Genomic DNA, 21,317 nt, shown 5'->3' with positions numbered 1-21,317 from the left:
CCACTGAAACTGCCTAGTGAAACTAGGGCATTTATTATGTGTCTGCAGCAAAAGAAATGGCTCTGAAGAAAGCTTCACCATATTCAGGATCATATTGAGCTGCATTGAGTATGCAGAGCAAACGTCAACCCTGTCGGCTCATAGCATGATCAACAGCGATTCATAAACACAGAACACTCCTGGAAATCTTGGTCCTTCCTGGAAAAGTCCAGAGAATAAAGATTAAAATCATGACAAGGGCGGGAGAGTGGTCTGGTAAGACATTTATGGTTTGATTTCTTTAGACTATTTTATTAGCATTTTAGAAGAAGCATGTGTCCATGTATTACTTGCATGATTAAAATTTTAATTTTCAAAGGACTCAGTGCATTCATTACTTCATCAAACATTGATTGGTTATTTAATGTGTCAGGCATTCTGCTGATTATTGGTGATTTAGCAGTGGATAAAATTAAAACAATGGCACATTTCATTCATCACAGTCAAGAGACTAACATAAAGTACCTTGAAGACCCCAACCAGCCTGTTGGGGTTCAAATTTCACCTTAGCAGTTATTAGATGTGAGGCATTGCTCAAGATATATGTCTTCCATTCCTCAATGTCCTCATCTAAAATACTATGATTGCAACAATAGTACCTATTTCATAGGGTGGTATTAACAGTTATATGATGTTAATATAAGTAAAGGGCTTAGAATAGTGTTTGGTGATTGGTAAAATTCATATTAGTTTTGGTGTAACTAGCTACATGGATAATGCTTCCCATCAGATCTTTTTCTATTTGTACAAACCATGGCATTGATATAGATGAATATGGTATACTATATGATCATATCAAAATAGATATTTTGATATCATAGCTCTGAAATAAAATACATAGTGCAATTTATAAAATAAAGGTTAGTACATAAACAAAAGACTTTTTTCTTTTTTTTTTCCAGTAGGTAAGAACATAGACTCTGAACACTAATTACCTGGGTAGAATCCCAGCTCCAAACCTTCCTGTCCCTGTAGCCTTGTGTGAGTTAGCTTTTCCCCACTTCGTAATTATTTTGTCTGCAATTAATAATGGTGTTTATCTCATAGAGTTGATATGAAGATTGAGATATGTCACTTGGGTATTTGTACACTGCCCTGTAATCAGAAAGGCCCCACTCTTAGTTTAATGCTCTGGCATCACCATGTTAAAATTCTTAATAATTTTTGAACAAGCAGCTTTGCATTATTTTTCACTGGACTGACCTCACTAATTATGCAGCCAGTCATCATGAGACTTAAATGAGCTAATATATGTAAAGACTTAGAACAGTTCCTGGCACAGAAAATGCTATGTAAATATTAACTATTATATTATTATATTCCTTTATTTAGATACCAGAAATTCTTATTTCAAGTGATTTTGTAAATGCAAGATTTTTCTTTTCACTAGAGTAAGAAAAATACTTGTTTTTTGTATGGAATTTAAACAATTACTTAGCTGAGCATTGAACGTGACATACCACCTGCTATGAAATGCCATAATTATGATGAATATGCTAGTTTTATAATAGACCTTGGCTACAAAGTTTTTGACTATGACTATACAACAGTCCAGAGTCAGACGGAGTGAGAAGAAAAGATCCAACACTTCCTGAGCATCTACTATGTACAAGACAGCACAATGGTCATCTCATCAAGTCCTTTCAGTTCTCCTTCAAATTATAACTCTACTTTTGTAGATCATGAAACTAAAACTCAAGACATTTAATACAGCCCAGTCAACATCACAAAACAAAGCATAAAAATTGAAATCCAGGTCTAACAACAATGTCTACATTTCCAATGTCAGATTGTCCACCTCAAATATTGAGTATAAGAGTGGCATATTTGTGAGTCCATCATTACATACATATGTATACACGGTGCTCAGAAATATCAAGGAAGACATGATCCCAGGATTTGTTTTTATCCTGTCAACACTCTTCTGAGGAAAGGAGCTCCATAAAATGCAGTAGGCATCAGAACCCACAGTCCTGGAGGCAGAGTGATCTCTTAGGCAAAAAAAAACTCTGGTAATGTCCGCTGTTGCTCTGTTGGAGTAGGTAGTCAGGCAGGCGTGAGGAAAGCAGGAGAGGGGCCCCCAATCTAAGAATGTCAGGCGACCGTCGGGTGATGGTCAGGCAGTTGTCACACTGTCTTTCTAAAATAACAATTGGTTTAAGCCAGTGCCAGGTGTCAGGCCTCTGAGCCCAAGCTAAGCTATCATATCCCCTGTGACCTGCACGTATACATCCAGATGGCCTGAAGTAACTGAAGAATGACAAAAGAAGTGAAAATGGTCTGTTCCTGCCTTAACTGATGACATTACCTTGTGAAATTCCTTTTCCTGGCTCATCCTGGCTCAAAAAGCTCCCCTACTGAGCATCTTGTGACCCCCACCCCTGCCGGCCAGAGAACAACCCCCTTTGACTGTAATTTTCCTTTACCTACCCAAATCTTATAAAACGGTCCCACCCCTATCTCCCTTCGCTGACTCTCTTTTTCGGACTCAACCCGCCTGCACCCAGGTGAAATAAACAGCCTTGTTGCTCACACAAAGCCTGTTTGGTGGTCTCTTCACACGGATGTGAGTGACCAGGGAAAAGCAGTCTCCCAATAGATAGGAAACACCTGAAGTGGTGATCAGCCGCTTCCTGATAAGATCTCAGGAGTTATGTGTGTGGGCTCAAGCATGAGCACTAAGAGGCAAAATGGCGGAGTTTAACTGGTATATGTCCTTCCTCTTAGAACACTTGGCTGGTAAGGGAAAAAGACCTCAAGTGAGCATGTGTACAACTTCAGTAAACACACCGTGCATGTGGCCCCTTCCAAACGCTGGCAGGCCACTGTGCATGTGGGCAGCCCGCTCCAAAGGGAGAATCAATGGAGAAGTAAGGCAACCCACCAAATCATGCAACATACAAAACCCAAGACAAACGTCAAACAGTGCACTTGACTCTCAAGTTGCCCACTTGGCCCCCTTCCAAGTGTGCTTTACTTCCTTTCATTCTTGCTCTAAAACTTTTTAATAAACTTTTATTCCTGCTCTAAAACCTGCCTCAGTCTCTCACTCTGCCTTACACCCCCTTGGTCAAATTCTTTCTTCTGAGGATCAAGAATTGAGGTAGTATTGCAGATGCATACAATTTGCCCCTGCTAATAGTTCTATAATTCTAAGCAGTGTTCAAGTCTATGAAAAGAGTTTCAGACAGTAAAAAAGAAAGAGGGAGAAAATGGCCATAAGAGAAGAAAAGCCAGAGAAAGATGAGAAAAAAGCAAGAGTTTCATTTTTCTATTTCTTCATTTTTGCATGAATGATCTTGTTGTGTGTAAAAGTGTCAGTACCAAAAAGTGCATAGTCTGAAACTGATTCCAAAAACAAACAAAAAACTCCCCAAAACTTTCAACCACCCCATGTAAACTCAAATGAAACTAATTTTGGGCCAGGTGTAGTGGCTCGCGCCTATAATCCCAACAGTTTAGGAGGCTGAGGCTGGATCCCAGGAGTTGAGACCAGCCTGGGCAACATGGTGAAACCCCCATCTCTACAAAAAGTACAAAAAATAGCCAGGTGTGGTGGTGCACACCTGTTGTCCCAGCTACTAGCAAAGCTGAGGTGACAGGATAGCTTGAGCCCGAGATTGTAGTGAACTGAGATCATGCCACTGCGCCCCAGCCTGGGTGACACAATGAGACCCTGCTTTTAAAAAAAAAAAAAAGAGAGAGAGAGAGAGAGAAAGAAAGAAAGAAAGAAAGATAATTTTGAAGAAAATAAAGGGAAAAGTTTTATTTAAATTACAAAATGCATGCTCCAGATTAAGAGTTCAGATATCTAAGAAAACTAAGAGGTCTGATTGAAGTTTTCTCTGCCTCAAAGTGACCTAGAGCCCAACAAATGCGTTAACTCCCCTTAAAAGCAACTCCAAACTACAATAGAAAAAAAAACGTTCAAAGAAAAAAATCAAAATTCAGAGTCCTCTACTAGAGAATAACAAATAGAGGCTGGGCGCCATGGCTCCGGCCTGTAATCCAGCACTTTGGGAGGCCGAGGGGGGCAGATAATTTGAGGTCAGGAATTCAAGACCAGCCTAGTCACATGGCAAAACTCTGTCTCTACTAAAAATACAAAAATTAGCCAGGAGTGGTGGGACACACCTGTAATCCCAGCTACTCGGGAGGCTGAGGCAGAAGAGTTGCTTGAACCTGGGAGGTGAAGGTTGCAGTGAGCCAAGATTGTGCCACTGCACTCCAGCCTGGGTGACAGAGTGAGACTCCATCTTGAAAAAAAACAAACAAAAAAACCACAAATAGAAATGGCAGACCAAAATATGTTCACCTTTTTCTGTGATCCAGGAACATGAATAAGAGGGTGGCTGGGGGCGGTCCCCTGATGTCCTTTCACCTTTAGAGTTACAAAGAATGCAAACACCCTTAGCAGGAAAACAGGTTAGTCTTCCTTAAGGCAATCCAAGCAGATGTTTCAATTTTTTTTTAATCAACATAATATGTGGTAGCTTATGATTATTAATGAAGACAGAAGTTCAATTTTGATGTTATGATAGTTTTTTTTAAAGCATGTGAACAGAAGGGCTGGGACTTTTTTCTGTTGATTCCTATAATAACTCCCTCTTCTACATAGTGTGGCTGGCCTCGTGTCAATGAAACTCTTTCTTTACTGCAATGCTGTTGCTTTTTCCTGTTAATTTTAAGCAAAATAAAGACATTTTGTTTCTATTATTGAATGAGAATACACCTCCCTGATTCCTATATGATTTTTTTTCTAACTGTGTGGAATTACAGAAACATCGTGTGAATATTTTTATATTTGGATGGATTCATAGAATTTGTTACCCTTTCAGGATGGTTCTTGCCTAGTTATGTAGATACAAAATATGATCTGTGCTTATTTGTAAGTGAAGTAAGGTACATCCCAGATAGAGTACTAGAACTGAAACTGCCTTTGCAAAAATTATAACAGTGAGAAAATTATGGCAGTGGGGGAGATCTGATCTAGCCAACTCCCCTCTTGCCTTGAGCCTTCAAACTGCTTTTAATTATTCCTTGGCTGCTTAAGCCAAGCTAGCCTTGGGAGGCATTTAATTTATAGGTTAAATGATAACAGCCTTTCCCCAAAACTCAACCACTTTTGTAAAGCTAATGAGAGACCACCAGGCTAGGCAGATAGAGGGGGCTGAATTCTGCTAAGGTGTAGACATAAAGGATTGCCAGTCATTATTCAAGAGATCAAAAGGTATGCTAACTTCCCCGATTACCCCTGTGGACAGCATCACTATTATTGAACCTAAGATTGGCCTTTTGAAATGTCTTTTCGGGTTCTTTGCATGTCTGACACCTGGCTTCACCTGGACTCACCAACTGCTCTTGTGGCCCCACCAGAAACTATTCAGCACACAGGAGGAACATTTCCCATAACCCTATGACTTCACCCCCAACCAATCAGCAACAAACAACCATTGTCTAGCCACTCCCATCACTTCCCCCAAACAATCTTTGAAAAACCCCAAGGCCGGGTGCAGTGTCTCACACCTGTAATCCCAGCACTTTGGGAGGCCGAGGTGGGCGGACCACCTGAGGTCAGGAGTTCAAGAGCAGCCTCGTCAACATAGAGAAACCCCATCTCTACAAACATACAAAAATTAGCCAGCATGATGGCGGGTGCCTGTAATCCCAGCTACTCAGGGGGTTGGGGAGGAAGAATCGCTTGAACCCAGGAGGCGGAGGTTGCAGTGAGCCGAGGCGCGCCATTGCACTCCAGCCTGGGCGACACAGTGAGGTTCCGTCTCAAAAAATAAATAAATAAATAAATAAATAAATAAATAAATATAAATAAAACCCCCTAATCTAGAAGCCTTTGAGGAGATAATAATTCCCTCTCCCCCATGGTGTGGCCGGCCTCATGTCAATTAAACTCTTTCTTTTCTGCAATTATGTGAATTAATTTTGTTTGTGCAGTGGGCAGGAGAACCCATCAGGTGGTTAAAGAATTCATTACGGCAGGTGGGGGTGGGGAACAAAACGGGACTTCATCTGAGAGATCTGAGACTTCGCATCCAGCACAACATTCTCACTTTACCTGAATGTACTTCCCTGGAAACTGATGCTCCCGATGTTATCAGATATAGAGTGCTGGATGAACCATCCTCCTAGTAGATTCAAATGACTGATAGACAATAAGGCTCATTCCTTGCTGGGATCATAAAGGGGACTATATTCAATTACTTATTAAAAGTCTAGAGAAGATGATACTTAAGCCATGTTTAAGTGTCAGTAAAAAGGCAAATATGACTCTCGGGAAAGCTAATGAGAGATTAAAGTAAATGAGAGATTAAAAAGATAGGCCAGATGAACTAAGAGTTTGGGTTTTTAGCTAGGGATTCTAAACTCTCACCCTGACAACTGAGAGCCATTGTTGTTTTTGAACAAAAATGAGGCAATATGAAAAAATACATAGTGTGGAAAGTTTATGTAGTAACATGCAGGAAGAGATTAATAGGCAAGAATGTCAACTAGATGGCATTTGATGACTAATTCCATATTGAGTTCTCTTGTCTCTTTATTTTCCTGGTGTGCATATCTGTCACAATTCCAACCTGAATAAATCTAACTACTTGCTTTGTCTAATTTTGCCATACAGAGTCCCAGTTTACACATGTTGCCTTGATACTCCTGGTTAGCACTCTTTCACTTTCAAAAGGCCCCTCATTTGTACAAGAAATCATATGGCTACCCTGACGTTGCCCAGCAACACTGTTGAACATCTTGTATGCTGGACTAATTCAATCATTCTCCTAAACCCGCCTTTTATTGCTGAAGTTCCAAGGTTCAGTCTTGAACCCTAGGATCGTTCTCTCCTGGATCTATGTTCTTTCCCTCTGAGCATTTGAATTCATGACACTGGCTTAAATGGTCACTTACTTAAAGATACTCCACATATTTATATTTTTAGCATAGGCCTCTCCTTTGAGCTCCAGACCTAACTTTCTAGTTGGTATCTTCACATGGATCCCGACTGCAAAGTCATCTCAAACTCAACCTGTCTGAAAGCCCAGTGAAGATTTATAGCTGAGGCTATTCTTCCATCCCCCAACCCCCAAACTTTGGATTGTCTCCAGTGTGCTCTCTCCTGGTAGACCTCATACCACTCATTCTGCACTCAAGCCAGAATCAAGGAGTTATCCTGACCTCTCACTTTCCTTCATTCCCACATCTGATCTGTCAGCAATCTATGTCACCTTAATTCCAAATACAGTAAGTCTTTACTTAATGTCATCAATAGGTTCTTAGAAATTGCCACTTTAAGCAAAATACAGTATAATGAAAACAATTTTACTATAGGCTAATTGATATAAATAAGAGTTAAGTTCCTACTGCCTATTTCTGGTCACAAAAATATCACACAATTTTAAATAAAGACCTCTACTATTTACCATTGAAACAAATGTGAGCTATATATACATTTAAGAAAGATGAATTTAAAAAGTAAGATAATTATTTACCCAATTATTCAAGCTCAGAGTCAAGGGAGGCTAAAGCCTGTCCCAGCAGCTCAGGGTGCAAGGCGGGGCCAGCCCTGGACAAGATGCCAGCCATCCCATCTCAGGGCGCACTCATTCATATGCACCCACACTCACTCACACTGCAGCAATTGACCTCATGCATAGATCTTTGGGATGTGGGAGGAAACAGCAATACCTGAGAAAACCCATGAAGGGCTGGGCACGGTGGCTCACGCCTGTAATCCCAACACTTTGGGAGGCTGAGGCAGGTGGGTCATCTGAGGTCAGGAGTCTGAGGCCAGCCTGGCCAACATGGTAAAACCCCATCTCTACTGAAAACACAAAAAATTAGCCGGGTGTGGTGGTGCATGCCTGTAATCCCAGCTGCTAGGGAGGCTGAGGCAGGAGGATTGCTTGAACCTGGGAGGCGAAAGTTGCAGTAAGCCGAGATCGTGCCACTGCACTCCAGCCCAGGAGACAGAGTAAGACTCCATCACAAAAACAAACAAACCAACGAACAAAAAAACCATGCAGATTTGAGGGGAACATGCAAACTCCACACAGGCAGGGGCCCAGGCCTGGAATTGTTTTGTTTTGATTTGTTTTGTTTTGATTTGTTTTGTTTTTCCCTTGTCAATAGTCTAACAAAATGACAATATTTGAGGACCTGCTGCAGCATTCCCCCTTACATCTCCTCCCCACCACCATGATCACCCAAGCTGCTGTAATTAGTCGTAAATGAAGGCAGAAAGCTCATTACTACTCTCCACATTGACATTAGCCCCTGAAATCTTCTGTTTGCCATGGGGTCACATATTTCTTTTGTTTGTTTTACCATAAATCTGATCATGTCTATCACCCAGGTGCATTTTCAAACAAATCAATACCCCATTTTCCTTAAAATCAATATAAAAAGATGCCCCCTTCCTCCTCTCCAGTCTCCTCTGGTGCCACCCCTCTCCTGTGCTCTGGCCACATGGCCTGTCCTCCATTCTCCTCATGGCCTCAGCTCCTTCTCACCAGGCACCCTTTGCACTTTCTGTCCCCACTGCCTAAAACATTTCTTTCCTAGTACTCTCGCCTGCTTGAGGCCTGCTTCTTTCTGGCTCAGCTTAGTCTTCACTGTCTCAGGAAAATCATCTTCATGATTTGGGCTTTCTTAAAAAAGCAAATTTACAACTTACACGCCAGAGAAGACAACTGAAATTTTGCTGATATTAGAGATCAGTAAGGATAAAACCTAGAAAGAAAACAGAAGAGTTCAGGCCCGAAACTTGGGAAACATAACCATTTAAATATAGGATGGATAGGGAGATATAGACAGTGAAGAGAGTAGGGGAAGCCAAAGAACAAAGTTCTCACTCATTTAATTAATCAAAACTTTGCCTGTGATAAATAGATGTTAGCATAGCTTCACATTATTTTTGACTGCTGCCTAATTATCTCCCACTTGTTCTTGTAGAGGAATCACACATGTGACATTGGAGCATCCCTAATTCTGGTTCTACTTTTGAATAGGTGTGTGGTTTCAACTGAGTTGGTTCATCTCTCTGTAATCAGGTATTTACCACCTATGAAGTATCGTTTACCTCATTTTACAAAGGATGAAATACAGAGGAGAGAAGTTGAGCCACATGTGTGAGGTCACAGAGCCAATGACAGGGTCAAGATTGGAACTCAGAAACCAGAGCTGTCCAACCTGAAGTCCAAGCTCTGCACCCTGTTCAGCAGTGCTTCCAAAGAATGACAGTCACTAATCCACTGCTCCATATATCTTCAGAGTGGCAAAAATGACAAATCCAGGCTAGATCAAAGACTTTCAAGGCAATCTGCTCCTTAACGGGGAGTCAAAGATGCTTGCTTTAGCCAGTTTCTGAAATGACCTTAATCCATATTTAGCTAAAAACAGACCAGATACTCTGGGCTTTTCGATCACATTAACATATTTCAACCAATGAGAACAACACCACCCAAGGTAAGGTCCCAGCCAGAGATTCATTCTCCTGTAACAACTGGAGCTTACTGAGAGTGACATAACTAAGAAAGAGACAAAGGAGTCACAGTGTTGCAGCTGTTTTAAGGCCATAGTACGCTGAAGCATGATGGGTTTTCCAGGCACTGGTGAGGACCTTGGGGTGTGGGAGGAGGAGCTATGTGCATGGACTGGCAACATATTGTGGATGCAGGCTAGGGTCCCAAGCTCATTGTCACAGCTGCCTTCCACCTAAGGGGGAAGGTTGGAACTTGGGCTTATTGCCTCCCAGAGGTGGACTTACTGTGCAGAGAATGGAGCCCAGGCTTCAGGGTTCATCTCTTGTTCAACCCTCTAAGGAGGATGAGAATTGATGGGAAATGCAGAGAATTGCAGGTAGAGAGGAGATGCCAGGTTGCAATCAGGAAACTCTCTATGCAAACATGTTTCAATGCATTGCCTAAAAAGAACACAAAAGGAGGACCTGGATCTCCCAGTCTCTGCTAACTTTGGTGAATTCTCTCTGCTTGTAAATTTGTGTTTTTGTTTTGTTTTGTTTTGTTTTTTTTCTTGAAGAGAGCCAAGAAAATGTATAAGCTTTAGGATCCACAGGAGAAGATACCTGTTTTGTGAGTCCTGAAGATTATGACCTTAAGTTTCTCTTTACATATGTCCTTTAAATCTATTGCTAGACAGGTAAGCTAGGGAAGGAAGATACTGCCTGAAATAACATGGTGGTCATGAGAGAATCTTCCTACAGGTTTGATAAAGAGCAGGTACTCTCTCTCCAAAACTCTACAACCATACTTGTTCATTTGGGTGTAGAAAAATGATATAGGACTGAATAATAAGCGTGACTGAGCTCATTAACAAGTATTATCAAGTCTCTGATAATTTACTGTGCAATGTGGACAAAAATGAGTTTGTGTGTGTTTATGCCGCATGTATTTGTGCACATTTTTGTTGATGTGTGTTTGTGCTTCATTTATGGGGTGACTACTGAGGAGAATATTGATTTGTGAGGGAGAGATAGAAAAAAAACAGAGATGTGAAAGAAGGCAAAGAGACAAAGAGAGGGAGACATGATGAGTAGTGGGAAATAAGAGTGGGAAGAAATGACAGAGGGAGGGAGAGTAGGGTGAAAGAAGGCAAGGAGTTCAGGAGACACAGGGTTTTCTAATCACCAGAATCAAGGTCATCTTGACCGACTTAAGAAATAAAGTTATTAATTTTTTTTAAGTCTTACAGTGGTCTAAACAAAATGATTCTCAGTAAAGTACTCTCTCTTCTTGTCACTTGGGCTCCAAAGGGGAGTGGTGGAGGATGCCACATGTTGCAGCTTTTTTGTTTTCTTTTTTTTTTTTTGAGACAGAGTCTCTCTCTGTCGCCCAGGCTGGAGTGCAGTGGTGCGATCTCGGCTCACTGCAAGCTCCGCCTCCCGGGTTCACGCCATTCTCCTGCCTCAGCCTCCTGAGCAGCTGGGACTACAGGCGCCCACCACCACGCCCGGCTTATTTTTTGTATTTTTAGTAGAGACGGGGTCTCACCGTGTTAGCCAGGATGCTCTCGATCTCCTGACCTCGTGATCCACCCGCCTCGGCCTCCCAAAGTGCTGGGATTACAGGCGAGAGCCACCGCGCCCGGCATGTTGCGGCTTTTTAAATTCTCATTTCACATTTTTGATGAATGTGTCCCAGAAAGGCCATTTCTGCCAATGGCAAAGTTTCTTTATGTTTTGGAATGTGCCTTCCAGCAGTCACACAAAATCTCACCCTGCAAATTGCTGGGGAGCTTTGGAATTTTGAAGTAAAGAAACCATAATTGGTAGTAAGTTTGGGTAGCAAAATTGAACTGAAGAACCAGGAAAATAAAGTACTAAAAATTTATTCTGTGTCCAACCCAAGAAAATGATTACTTTTAGAAAACTGCGCATTGCCCCAAAGCACCTTAGTACTGGGACTAGTCTTCAAATATCTCAACTTCACAGTTACTTTGTTATTTCTGATTATTATTATTATTATTATTATTATTATTATTATTATTACCATCATAAATGGCTGACTAGTCCAAGTTACTTACCTTCATTTTTGCTTATTACTGAAACTCCCTAACTGCTCCTTCATATTTATAGGATGGCAGACTTTCAATTTGCAACATACAATATTTGGATCAAACAATACACATCTCTGATTCTACTTGCACCAATATCTAATATCATCATGGTGATTATAGGTGACGATGGTGGTGATGATGGAAAATAAAGAAGAACGAGGAGAAGGGCCTCTGATTGATTTCTTGAGCATTTACCGACTTTAACAGCAGTTCCCAGATGGGAAGTAGCATAGCTGAGCCTTAAATTCATGCCCTTCAGGATCTGTGGCTCTCACCAATATCATGAGGCTAAACTCCCACCAGAAAATAGAGGCAATCTATAATGTAAAGGCAGACAATTCCCAAATTCATACTCGTTTCCTTCTACTTGTGAAAGCATAATTTTTTGTTCATCCTAAGGTCACCAGAGCCTTCGAGATAATCTGGCACATGAAAGGTACTCAGTCCTTGTTTCCTGAATGAATTATTCAGTGGACGCAACAGCTGCTGATGGAGGCTCAGAACGCTTCTCAGTCTCTACACAGAGCATGGAAACTTGGTCCTAAATATGAACTTACAGATCTCAACTGTTTGCTCTGGCCATTCCTAATAATAGACACATCAAAATATTATATTAAGATTACAGTGTTTGATATTTTCAAATTGGGGTAAATTTGGCCTGTATCTAGCAGGAACAACTCCAATCTAATAATATGCAGACTCATGACTCATAGGGGAATATGCAGGCTTGACTCATCAAGGGGAAGGCCAAATCCTTATTTCTTGTGGAAATCTCATTGGTTACAAAATACATTAAAAATATAGAATCTAAGAGGGTAATAAAATCAGATTTCCCAACAATGAAGCATACTAGCCACATTCAGGATCATTTAAGAGTGGTTATTATTGGCTCTCTGTAGTACTGAGAAAGCCAACTGTATCATAAATAGTTCTGCATTTCCAGAGAACCTAGCTAATTTTAGACATTCTGCCAGAAGTTCATCTCTGCCTCAAAGGGCTTTGAAAATAAAAGTAAAGGCAAACAGGCAAATAAAAGTTAAAAAGGAGAGGGTGCGGGCAGAGAAGAAGAGGGAAGAGGAGAAGAAAAGAGAAAGGAAGAAAGAAAATAAGGGAGGGAGGGAGGAAGCTGGTTTAATTTTTCACTTCCTTGATATTGAAAAACTGCGTTGGTGAGCAAGAAACTGACGTATAAATTTAGCTCCTGTATTATTTTCACTGATATATTTCTATTGCTTAGCAAATTTCTACAAAAATTTTGGAATGTTGTCAGCTTTGCATCTAAAATTTTCCTCATGCCTGTGGGTGTATGCATACATATGTATAAACATGAAGTTATCTGAGATGTTACTGCTAGAAGGGCTCTTGAGAGCTGTTCTTGGGGTGAACAAAGAGTTACTAGCAGAATCATGAAGTCTGCTCATGTTCCTGAATTCTGGCTTCCCAAGGTCCAAGTAACTGTTGGGAGCACACACACAAGAGGATTCTGACATTCTTGACAAGGAGTAAGACTTAATATCACTTGGCTGGGGGTGCCCCAGGGTAGATGGTATACTTTCACCTCCTCTCAAGTCTTCCTCTCTTTAATTTTATTCTCCTCTCCTTTCGTCATTATCTCAGGCCTGTGAGTTAAAAAAAAATTAGCTTTCCTTCCAGGCAGTATCTCTGTGTAAAGCCTTTTGAGCACCGCACTAAAGACTACTTAGAGTCAACGGGTACTTTGGGCAAATTATTCCACTGTTGAGATATCCAAATCACAGCTGGAAAAAAACACATTAACATCAGATCGCTAAGCCCTGCTCCTGGTGCTGGAGACATCATTCTTCACATCTGCCTCACACCCGAGGCATGAAAGAGCCACATCTGGGCAGTGTTTACACTCAGAACCATGGTACTGCCTCAGGGTGGTGCCTGTTTCAGTAAACCGACAAAAATCTCTGTGTGCCACCTAGAGAAGAGTTGGTTATGAGAATCATATCACAACTCTTCCAGCTACCTTTGGGCTTTAGGTTATGTTTTGACCACTCCTGAGTTCAGAGGACTATAGTCCCTCATTTTTGTGTCAGTGTTGGAACCCAAGGTGAGGAGAATGGACGTAGAGGCAGGGGCGCTCTGCTGTGGACCCCAGTCAGAAACACAGAACTCTGCTTCTTTCAACTTAAATCAGGTGCTGTTCAAACTCCCAAAGATGGAAATGAGGTTTGTGTAGAATCACTGTTGCATTAAAGTTTCTAGACGATGTGCAAGTACCCTACTACACTCTGTATATATAATGTATCATGCATTTATTAAAGTCATCTCACAAATATTTATTACCATATCCAAGTATAAAAATGAATAAACACATGGCTGGAATACGAAGAATAAAGTGTTCTATTTTCAGATTACCTCTGGAAAAGCAAACTGAGCAACAGGAAGCCATGATTGGATTTAACAGTGGAGGATAAAGGGTCAGAATTGGGATAGAAGTCAGATCTGCAGTTTGTAAAGAACTCTAGCCATGGTGGGAAGAGGATTCAAGGGATTAACCATACGGCAATGTCAAAATGGAAATTATTCAACATTCGTCCAGAAAATTATAAATGGTAACTTGGGCTATGGTGGTGGAAATGGAGATGAAAGTGAAATGGATGGATCTGAGAGACAGAAAATCAATTTTTTTTAGATGCAAATAAGGGAAAGAGTAGTGTCAGAGGGAAGGCTGAGGATTTCAGACTATGGAACCTGATGGGAATAGGGTCTCACTCTGAGAAGCATACCTGGAAAATAATCAGGTTAAATGGGATAATTGACATTTTAATTGTGGACAAGTTGAATTTAATTTTCCATTAAGACAGTCAAGGGAAGGAGTTATGAACATCTATATCTCTCTGGAGAATTTTGAGCTATAATAAAGGTTTGAAGACTTGCTCACATAGATGATAAAGAATAGCACCAAGGGAGAGAATACAGAGTAATTTATGAAGGGGGCCTGAGAACATAAGCAGAGGCTCTCCAGCAACTGATGGCTGAGAAGAAAAGGCTCAGCTTGCAAATGGATCTGTAAAGAAGTAGTAGCCATTGGGAGGCAAAGGCGGGTGGATCACCTGAGGTCGGGAGATCGAGACCAGCCTGACCAGCCTGGCGAAACCCTGTCTCTACTAAAAATACAAAAATTAGCTGGGCATGGTGGCACATGCCTGTAACCTCAGCTACTCTGAAGGCTGAGGCAGGAGAATCGCTTGAACCTGGGAGGTGTAGGTTGCAGTGAGCCGAGATCGCGCCACTGTACTCATCCTGTGCAACAGAGTGAGACTGTCTGAAAGAAAAAAAATGAAGTAGTAGCCAGATAATTGGAGCAAAGCTAGTAGAGTGGATGCCCAGGGAAAAGAAAAGTCACCACAGAGAGGGTGGGTTCAATGGGTAAAATATTGTTGAGATTTCATGTGAAATAAGCACTCAGAAATGTTCTTCGCACTCTGTTATGTGGAGGTGCACTGAAGTTCCTGAATTGATGGGCCAAGGAATCTAAGCAGGATAAAGAAAGAAAGGAAAATGTTAAGGTTGCTGGTATGGTATTAAAAAAAGAGGGATCAAAGGACTAAAGATGCTTATGAGGTTAATAAAAGATCAAGGTAGGTATTACTGAATAAACCAGTCATGAGGAGACAAAGTTTTCTGAGAGCACAGCAATGGAATTAGTACAGAGTTGATGATTAGATCCAAAGTGTGATCATGAAAGTGGGTGGATATGATGAAGTGGAAGAAAAAATTACTGGAGATGAGACCGTCAAGGTCATGGGTAGAACTGGGATAATACCAACATTTTAATAAAAGATGGTGTCTACAAAAAATTGTTGATGATAATAAGCAGGCTAGGATGAATTGTGATATGTTGTATCTCAAAGAATAACACTATTGTTCAAGAACTGAAGAAGTACGTGCTATAGGAAGGGCTTGAGTAATCAGCAGGATATCAAACCTACTTTCAGAACATGAGGAACAGAAGGGGCACATAGAAATCAGCCTTCTCTGAAGAAGGTCAACAAGGTGCAATCAGGTTTCAGGAACGGGATGGAGCAAACAATCAGAACAATGGCTGGGAATGAAAATAGAAGGATATTCATCAAATATGGAGCTGAATTCCATGTATCATGATGGAAAACTGAAAAAGGGAAATAATGGACATCATCGTGAGAAGGCGGAGAATATGGATCATGAGCTGTAGAGTATTGATGAAAAGAAAATGAGATACTAACACTTTGTTAGTCAGCATTCAGTGACAAAAATTAGAATGAGAGACCTGGTTGTGGTGATCTTTGTGGTCTCTTCAACTCGAGGCTGTGATTCCTTTGTCACTGATTTCTGGCCTCACTAATGACTAGTTACTGGACCATCATGGAGTGAAAGCTGGACGGTGGGAGTGCATGCTGTGGGAACACGGATGACAGCGACCCCAGAGACTATTGCTCATACTCGGCCATCATGTGCCTCATTGAGAAGCTGAGAAAGTTATGAAACATATTCCATCAAATTTTATGAGTTCATGGACCCCCCTGAAGACCCTCCATCCATAAGCCTCAACTTAATTACCATGGTCCGCATTATTAAGACTAAACCCCAAGCTGCTTAACTTTGTTGCTAATATGATAACTTTAAATAGCTTGTGCCTAGTGGGCTTGGGACACATTCCCGGCAATAATTAATCTGGATGAAACCAATCTTCCTATTAATTAAGAAATGCCTTTTCCCCAATAATTAAAAGAAAATCTTCATTAGCAAATTGTTACTAATCTACCACTGATGAAAACAGTCTCGGAAGTGTGTGTCTCAAATGTTTCACAGCTTACTAGATTTATTGGCAGGATATCTACTTTTTAATCAGCTAGTACTAAAGAGAACTGATGGACAGGATGAAACTCATGGAGGAGAGGAGGTGGTGCAGAGAGTAATGACAGAAATTGTATGGCAGTATTATTTAAACTATTTATTGTTTATTAGCTCCAAGTTTGAATCAGCCCCAGTACAATTGTCACCACAGTGTAATGATATATATTATGGACATACAAATTCCTTTTAGAAGCATGGGGGTAAAGGTGTAAGAGAAAAGCAGATTTGAACACATTAAATATCAAACTGTAAGCCTGGGGCTTTCTTACTCCCACCACATGAAAAGCCTCCCCAAAGAGTAGACATACCATGGGTCAGCATAATAAGGCTGCCCAGTTCGTTGATCCAAGCTTCCCATAAACGTTACATTCAACTGTGGTCAGTGACCTAACAGGTCAGTTGGCTTGGATGTGTTTCCTGAATCAGGCAATGCCTCTTGCCATTGGTTTTTCAAACTCCAGATATAATTTGGGAATTGAAGGCTTACTATAAATGCACCCATTATTGATGGCCAACCTGAAGCAAGTGGAAGGTTGGCTGTAACCTCAAGTATCTTCTTACAAACCTGATATTTCTAGTGTTTGTGCTAATATCATTTTCTAGTGTTTGCAGCAGTGCTCATGTCCTCCCTTGACAAGAACACATCACCCCAAAGCTGCAAACACTTGATGAGCTATTGACATTATTGAAGTTCTCGCTGAGCTCAGGGCACACTGTGTTTTCAAAAAGGTCAGTGAATACCATCTTTTTTACTCCCTGTTGATTGATGCTAAGGCTTGGTGATCCTAGAATTCTCCTTCCTCCTTTGCTAACTCCTTAGGTTTGGATATGTGCTTATGAGGCTATTGTTAAAAAAAGATACCCAGATAGGTTATAGCTCTCCCTCACATCCCTTCACAGTCCTTTTCAGATCTACATTCTCTGCACACCCTGGTGCTTTTGTTTGTCTCATACAAAAATTAGAATTCTAATTGACTTATGCAATTAAATCCCAGGAAACCTCAATGGCAGATGAATTCAGACAACCTCAGCCCCTGCTTAGACTCAAGCTGTGACTCCTGTGGTCCATGCCATAACAGATGTTCCTCTGGGAAAACTGTCAGTTGCCATTGACTGACTCTGTGAGGACCTTGGTTCAGTTCATTTATCTCTTTGAGACTCAGTTTTCAATGGGAATAATTATACCTTTTTGCTCAGAGACTGCTAGTTACCTATCCGATATTATTCTCCTTTCTTGGTAAGAGAACATGGTTTTTTATTTATAATGGCAATGAGTACATCTAATCATCTAAGAGATTTCAGATAGAAGTCATGAAATGGGCTTCAAGAAAGGCTCTTTTTACCCCATGTTGTCTTTTTCTTCTTCCTACCTGGAATACAGTTACATCGGCTGGGGCTCTAGTAGCTGTCTTGTAACCTTGAGGATGGAAGCCTCATGCTAGGGAGGACAAGGTATAAAGTTAAAAGAACCATGTGGCCTCAAAGGTTTTATGGAGCCTTTATACCTGCTGTTGACTCTTACCTCAGGTTCTAATTATTTGAGGGAGAGATGTACTTCTACCCTGCCCAAGCTTTTTTGGTCAAGTCAAGAGGATCTAAATGTTATGCTCCCTCCCAGAGGTGGAGGGGGCCTTAAACCTGGGAGTTCATGTGAAAATGCTAGTGCAGTAGCTGGGCACTGGCACTTGGCACATATCCATTCCCTTGCTCTGTAGCTTCAGCCTGGCTCTTCTGAATTGTCCATGTGGCTATTTGAACTATGATTGACTGTCTGTCTCTGGTACTGAGGGCTGAAGTTGTTTCCTGTGTGGTTTTGAGACAAATACCTTGATAATTTCAAGGACTGCTCTTTGTGTCTAAGCATCTTTTAGAGGATAGGATACCCCAGACCTTCTATTAATTATAAATACAATCTGTGAATTGGCTCATGAGAATTCATGATTTTTTTTTTTTTAAAAGAGTCTGTTTGAGCCTTGCTGATGACTTTAAAAGTTTTCTAAAGCAGAGTGTGATTATACCTGGTGGACAAACAGTCCAAAGCCTGCAGGGCACTTCTTGCCCCCAACCCACACCCTACTTCGTGAGTTGCTTTGTATTCATATATAAAAGTCACTTTAAAAACACAACAAAAGATATGAAAGAAAAGAAAAGAGACAGCCAGGACAGCAAACAATATGAATCTATTACTTTAGAAGAAGAACTATTCACGTACAGCAAACGTGACATCAATATCGCCAACAATGGCAGGGGCATTTGGCTTTGGGCTCTCTTTCCTGGCTTGTTATAATCAGGGCATTGGGAGGAAGAGATGCTTGTCCTCAAAACCCTCCATGAGAACTAGGTCCCCACCCCCAGCAGATGGGAAACAGCTTCACCACTGATGAGGCGTCTGTAGATCTGAGTTTGTTAGATCAAAGGCATGAAGCTTTAATGACCCAAGGGTCTCTGTTTAATGTATTCATTTGGAGCATCTGTTCTTGCTCTTTATCCAAACAAACATTTGATTAGTGCTTGCGTTTTGTGTTGGATAGCAACCCAACCTCAGCAGACCAACCTAGACCACCTCAGCAGACCACTGGGACTTTTATAATCATGAATACATAAATACGCCACACACATGGTCTTAGCTCTGGCTACAGACTTATCATCATTGATCACCTGCCCAACAGCACACAGGCGTGCATGTGCACACGCACACACGCATACACACAAACACACACACACACACAAATATACCAGAGTACCAATAATAGAAAGGCACATAATAATTTTAGTAGCCCTATGAAATGGCACAGTAATAGGGAGGTAAGTAAAATAAAATTACTTAAAACATATGCCTCTCTGTATATATATATACATATTTGTGTATGTATTTAATATCACATATGTAATATTACTTATATATACTTGTTACAATATATAATAGACATTCTATATATTTAATATGCTGTTTATATATTTATATGTGTACATTATATTAAAATATATATGTGTGAGTAAGGGTGTATATTCAGGGACTGGGGAGAAGGCTGTTTTCCTCAATAGAATTCAGTCTCCATGAGAGAGGACTTGAGTTAGTTTGTGTGTTGGTTTGCTGTAACTACTGTATCCTAGCTCCTGAAACAATGCCTAGGATATAGTAAGAGCCCAGTGAGTAATTGTCAGACGAGGGAATAGTAAATATTTAAGTAAGAACCTTCAGCAATTAGCATATGATCTGGTATACAGGAAATGCTCAGTAAATATTTGTCAAAGGAATTAATGTATGCCTGCATGATTTAGGAAAAATAGGTTCTTAATTTTCACTATATACAGATTAACATATTAACAGTAAATCCATCTGACTTACATAAATAACTTAGAAAAAATAGGATATGTTCTAAAAATGGAAGAGGGAGGACATTGAAAATAAAGGAGGGAGGACATAAAAAAACAACGATAGCTTAGCCTGGTCAGTTTTCTTACTAAGAAAACTACAGACCATTCTCTGTCCAAGTAAAATAAAATTAAACTGATAAGAAGTGAACCGTAAGCAAAATATATTATTAATAAATTGACAGAAAAAGAATGGAGAGCACTCTACATGAAACTCAAACAGTTAGAAAAAAATAACAGGAACGCAAGAGATAATTGGGTAAAGATCCTGAGCAGAAATCTCAGTACGGTTCCATGTAAAATTTATTTTTATCTGAAGTTTAGCTGTGAAGAGATGGTTGGTAGTCAAAATTACTCTGAAATTTATTCTAACACTGCAATTATCTGGCTATTAGCACTGCCACTTTACATTAATGTCTTTAATTTCACTTGCAAAAGCAATTTTAATGTCCACCAAACTTTCCTAAGAAAACAGCATTTCACCAAATCTATGCATTAGACATTTCAAAGGAAGAGTGAGTCACTAACAGCATGACTACAGAGATTCAGCTTTCATCAAGTGTTCCAATAAACTGTGAATTTAGGGGGCCAAATGTTTTAACACTGTCAAGAAAACACTGATAATGAAAAAATAGCAAACCTGGAGGCAGCTGGGCAATTTATTTTATCTATTGCAGTAGTCACTTTATTTCTTTTCTTTCCAGTTTTTTTTTTTTTTTTTTTTTTTTTTTTTTTTTTTTTTTGAGAGGGAGTTTTGCTCTTGTCGCCCACACTAGAGTGCAATGTCCCGGTCTCAGCTCACTGCAACCTCCGCCTCCCAGGTTCAAGTGATTCACTTGCCTCAGCCTCTGGAGTAGCTGGGATTACAGGCAACCACCACCATGCCCAGATAATTTTTGTATTTTTAGTAGAGATGGGATTTCACCATGTTGGCCAGGCTGGTCTTGAACTCCTGACCTCAGGCGATTTGCCCGCCTCAACCTCCCAAAGTGTTGGGATTACATACATGAGCCATTGCACCCGGCCGTCACTTTATTTCTAACAGTGTCCTCCTTTAGCAACTGTGGGCATCTTATATGACCAGTGCTACCAGTCCCAACAGTCCAGTAATAACAGAAGAAAAGGCAACCATTGGAAGATGAGAGGCATTGATGGCATTGCCATTACTAGAGTCATTCATGGTAAATAAGATATGGCAAACTTACCTCTGAACCTATTAAAACAACAACTGATTTTTTTTTTCTTTAGAATATTTTTCTTTGGTTTTCTGTTTTGCTTTGTTTTGCTGGAGACGGAGTCTCGCTCGCTCGCTCTGTTGCCCAGGCTGAAGTGCAGTGGCACGATCTTGGCTCTCTGCAACCTTCACCCCCATGTTCAAGTTATTCTCCTGCCTCAGCCTCCTGAGTAGCTAGGACTACAGGCAACCACCCCACTATGCCCAGCTAATTTTTTGTATT

At 40.6% G+C, this 21,317-nt stretch overlaps 1 protein-coding gene across 24 annotated transcripts in view, besides 1 other annotated feature; it reads right to left on the bottom strand.

Moving 5' to 3' along the window:
* NRG3 (neuregulin 3) overlaps positions 1–21,317 on the bottom strand; it is a 1,111,986-nt gene that overhangs the window by 306,380 nt on the left and 784,289 nt on the right. The window lies entirely within an intron of this gene.
* Positions 4,945–5,509: an enhancer, noted in NCBI's record as "NANOG hESC enhancer chr10:84435047-84435611 (GRCh37/hg19 assembly coordinates)". NCBI's record gives its function as "activates a minimal SCP1, AML or CMV promoter by ChIP-STARR-seq in naive H9 embryonic stem cells {active_cell/tissue: H9 hESC(naive)}" and the evidence as "EXISTENCE:reporter gene assay evidence [ECO:0000049][PMID:30033119]".

Source organism: Homo sapiens, chromosome 10 (genome assembly GCF_000001405.40).
Source record: "Homo sapiens chromosome 10, GRCh38.p14 Primary Assembly".
Taxonomy (NCBI): Eukaryota; Metazoa; Chordata; class Mammalia; order Primates; family Hominidae; genus Homo; species Homo sapiens.
The sequence above is the reverse complement of the archived record's forward strand: the minus strand, read 5'-3'. Positions and strand labels throughout refer to the sequence as shown.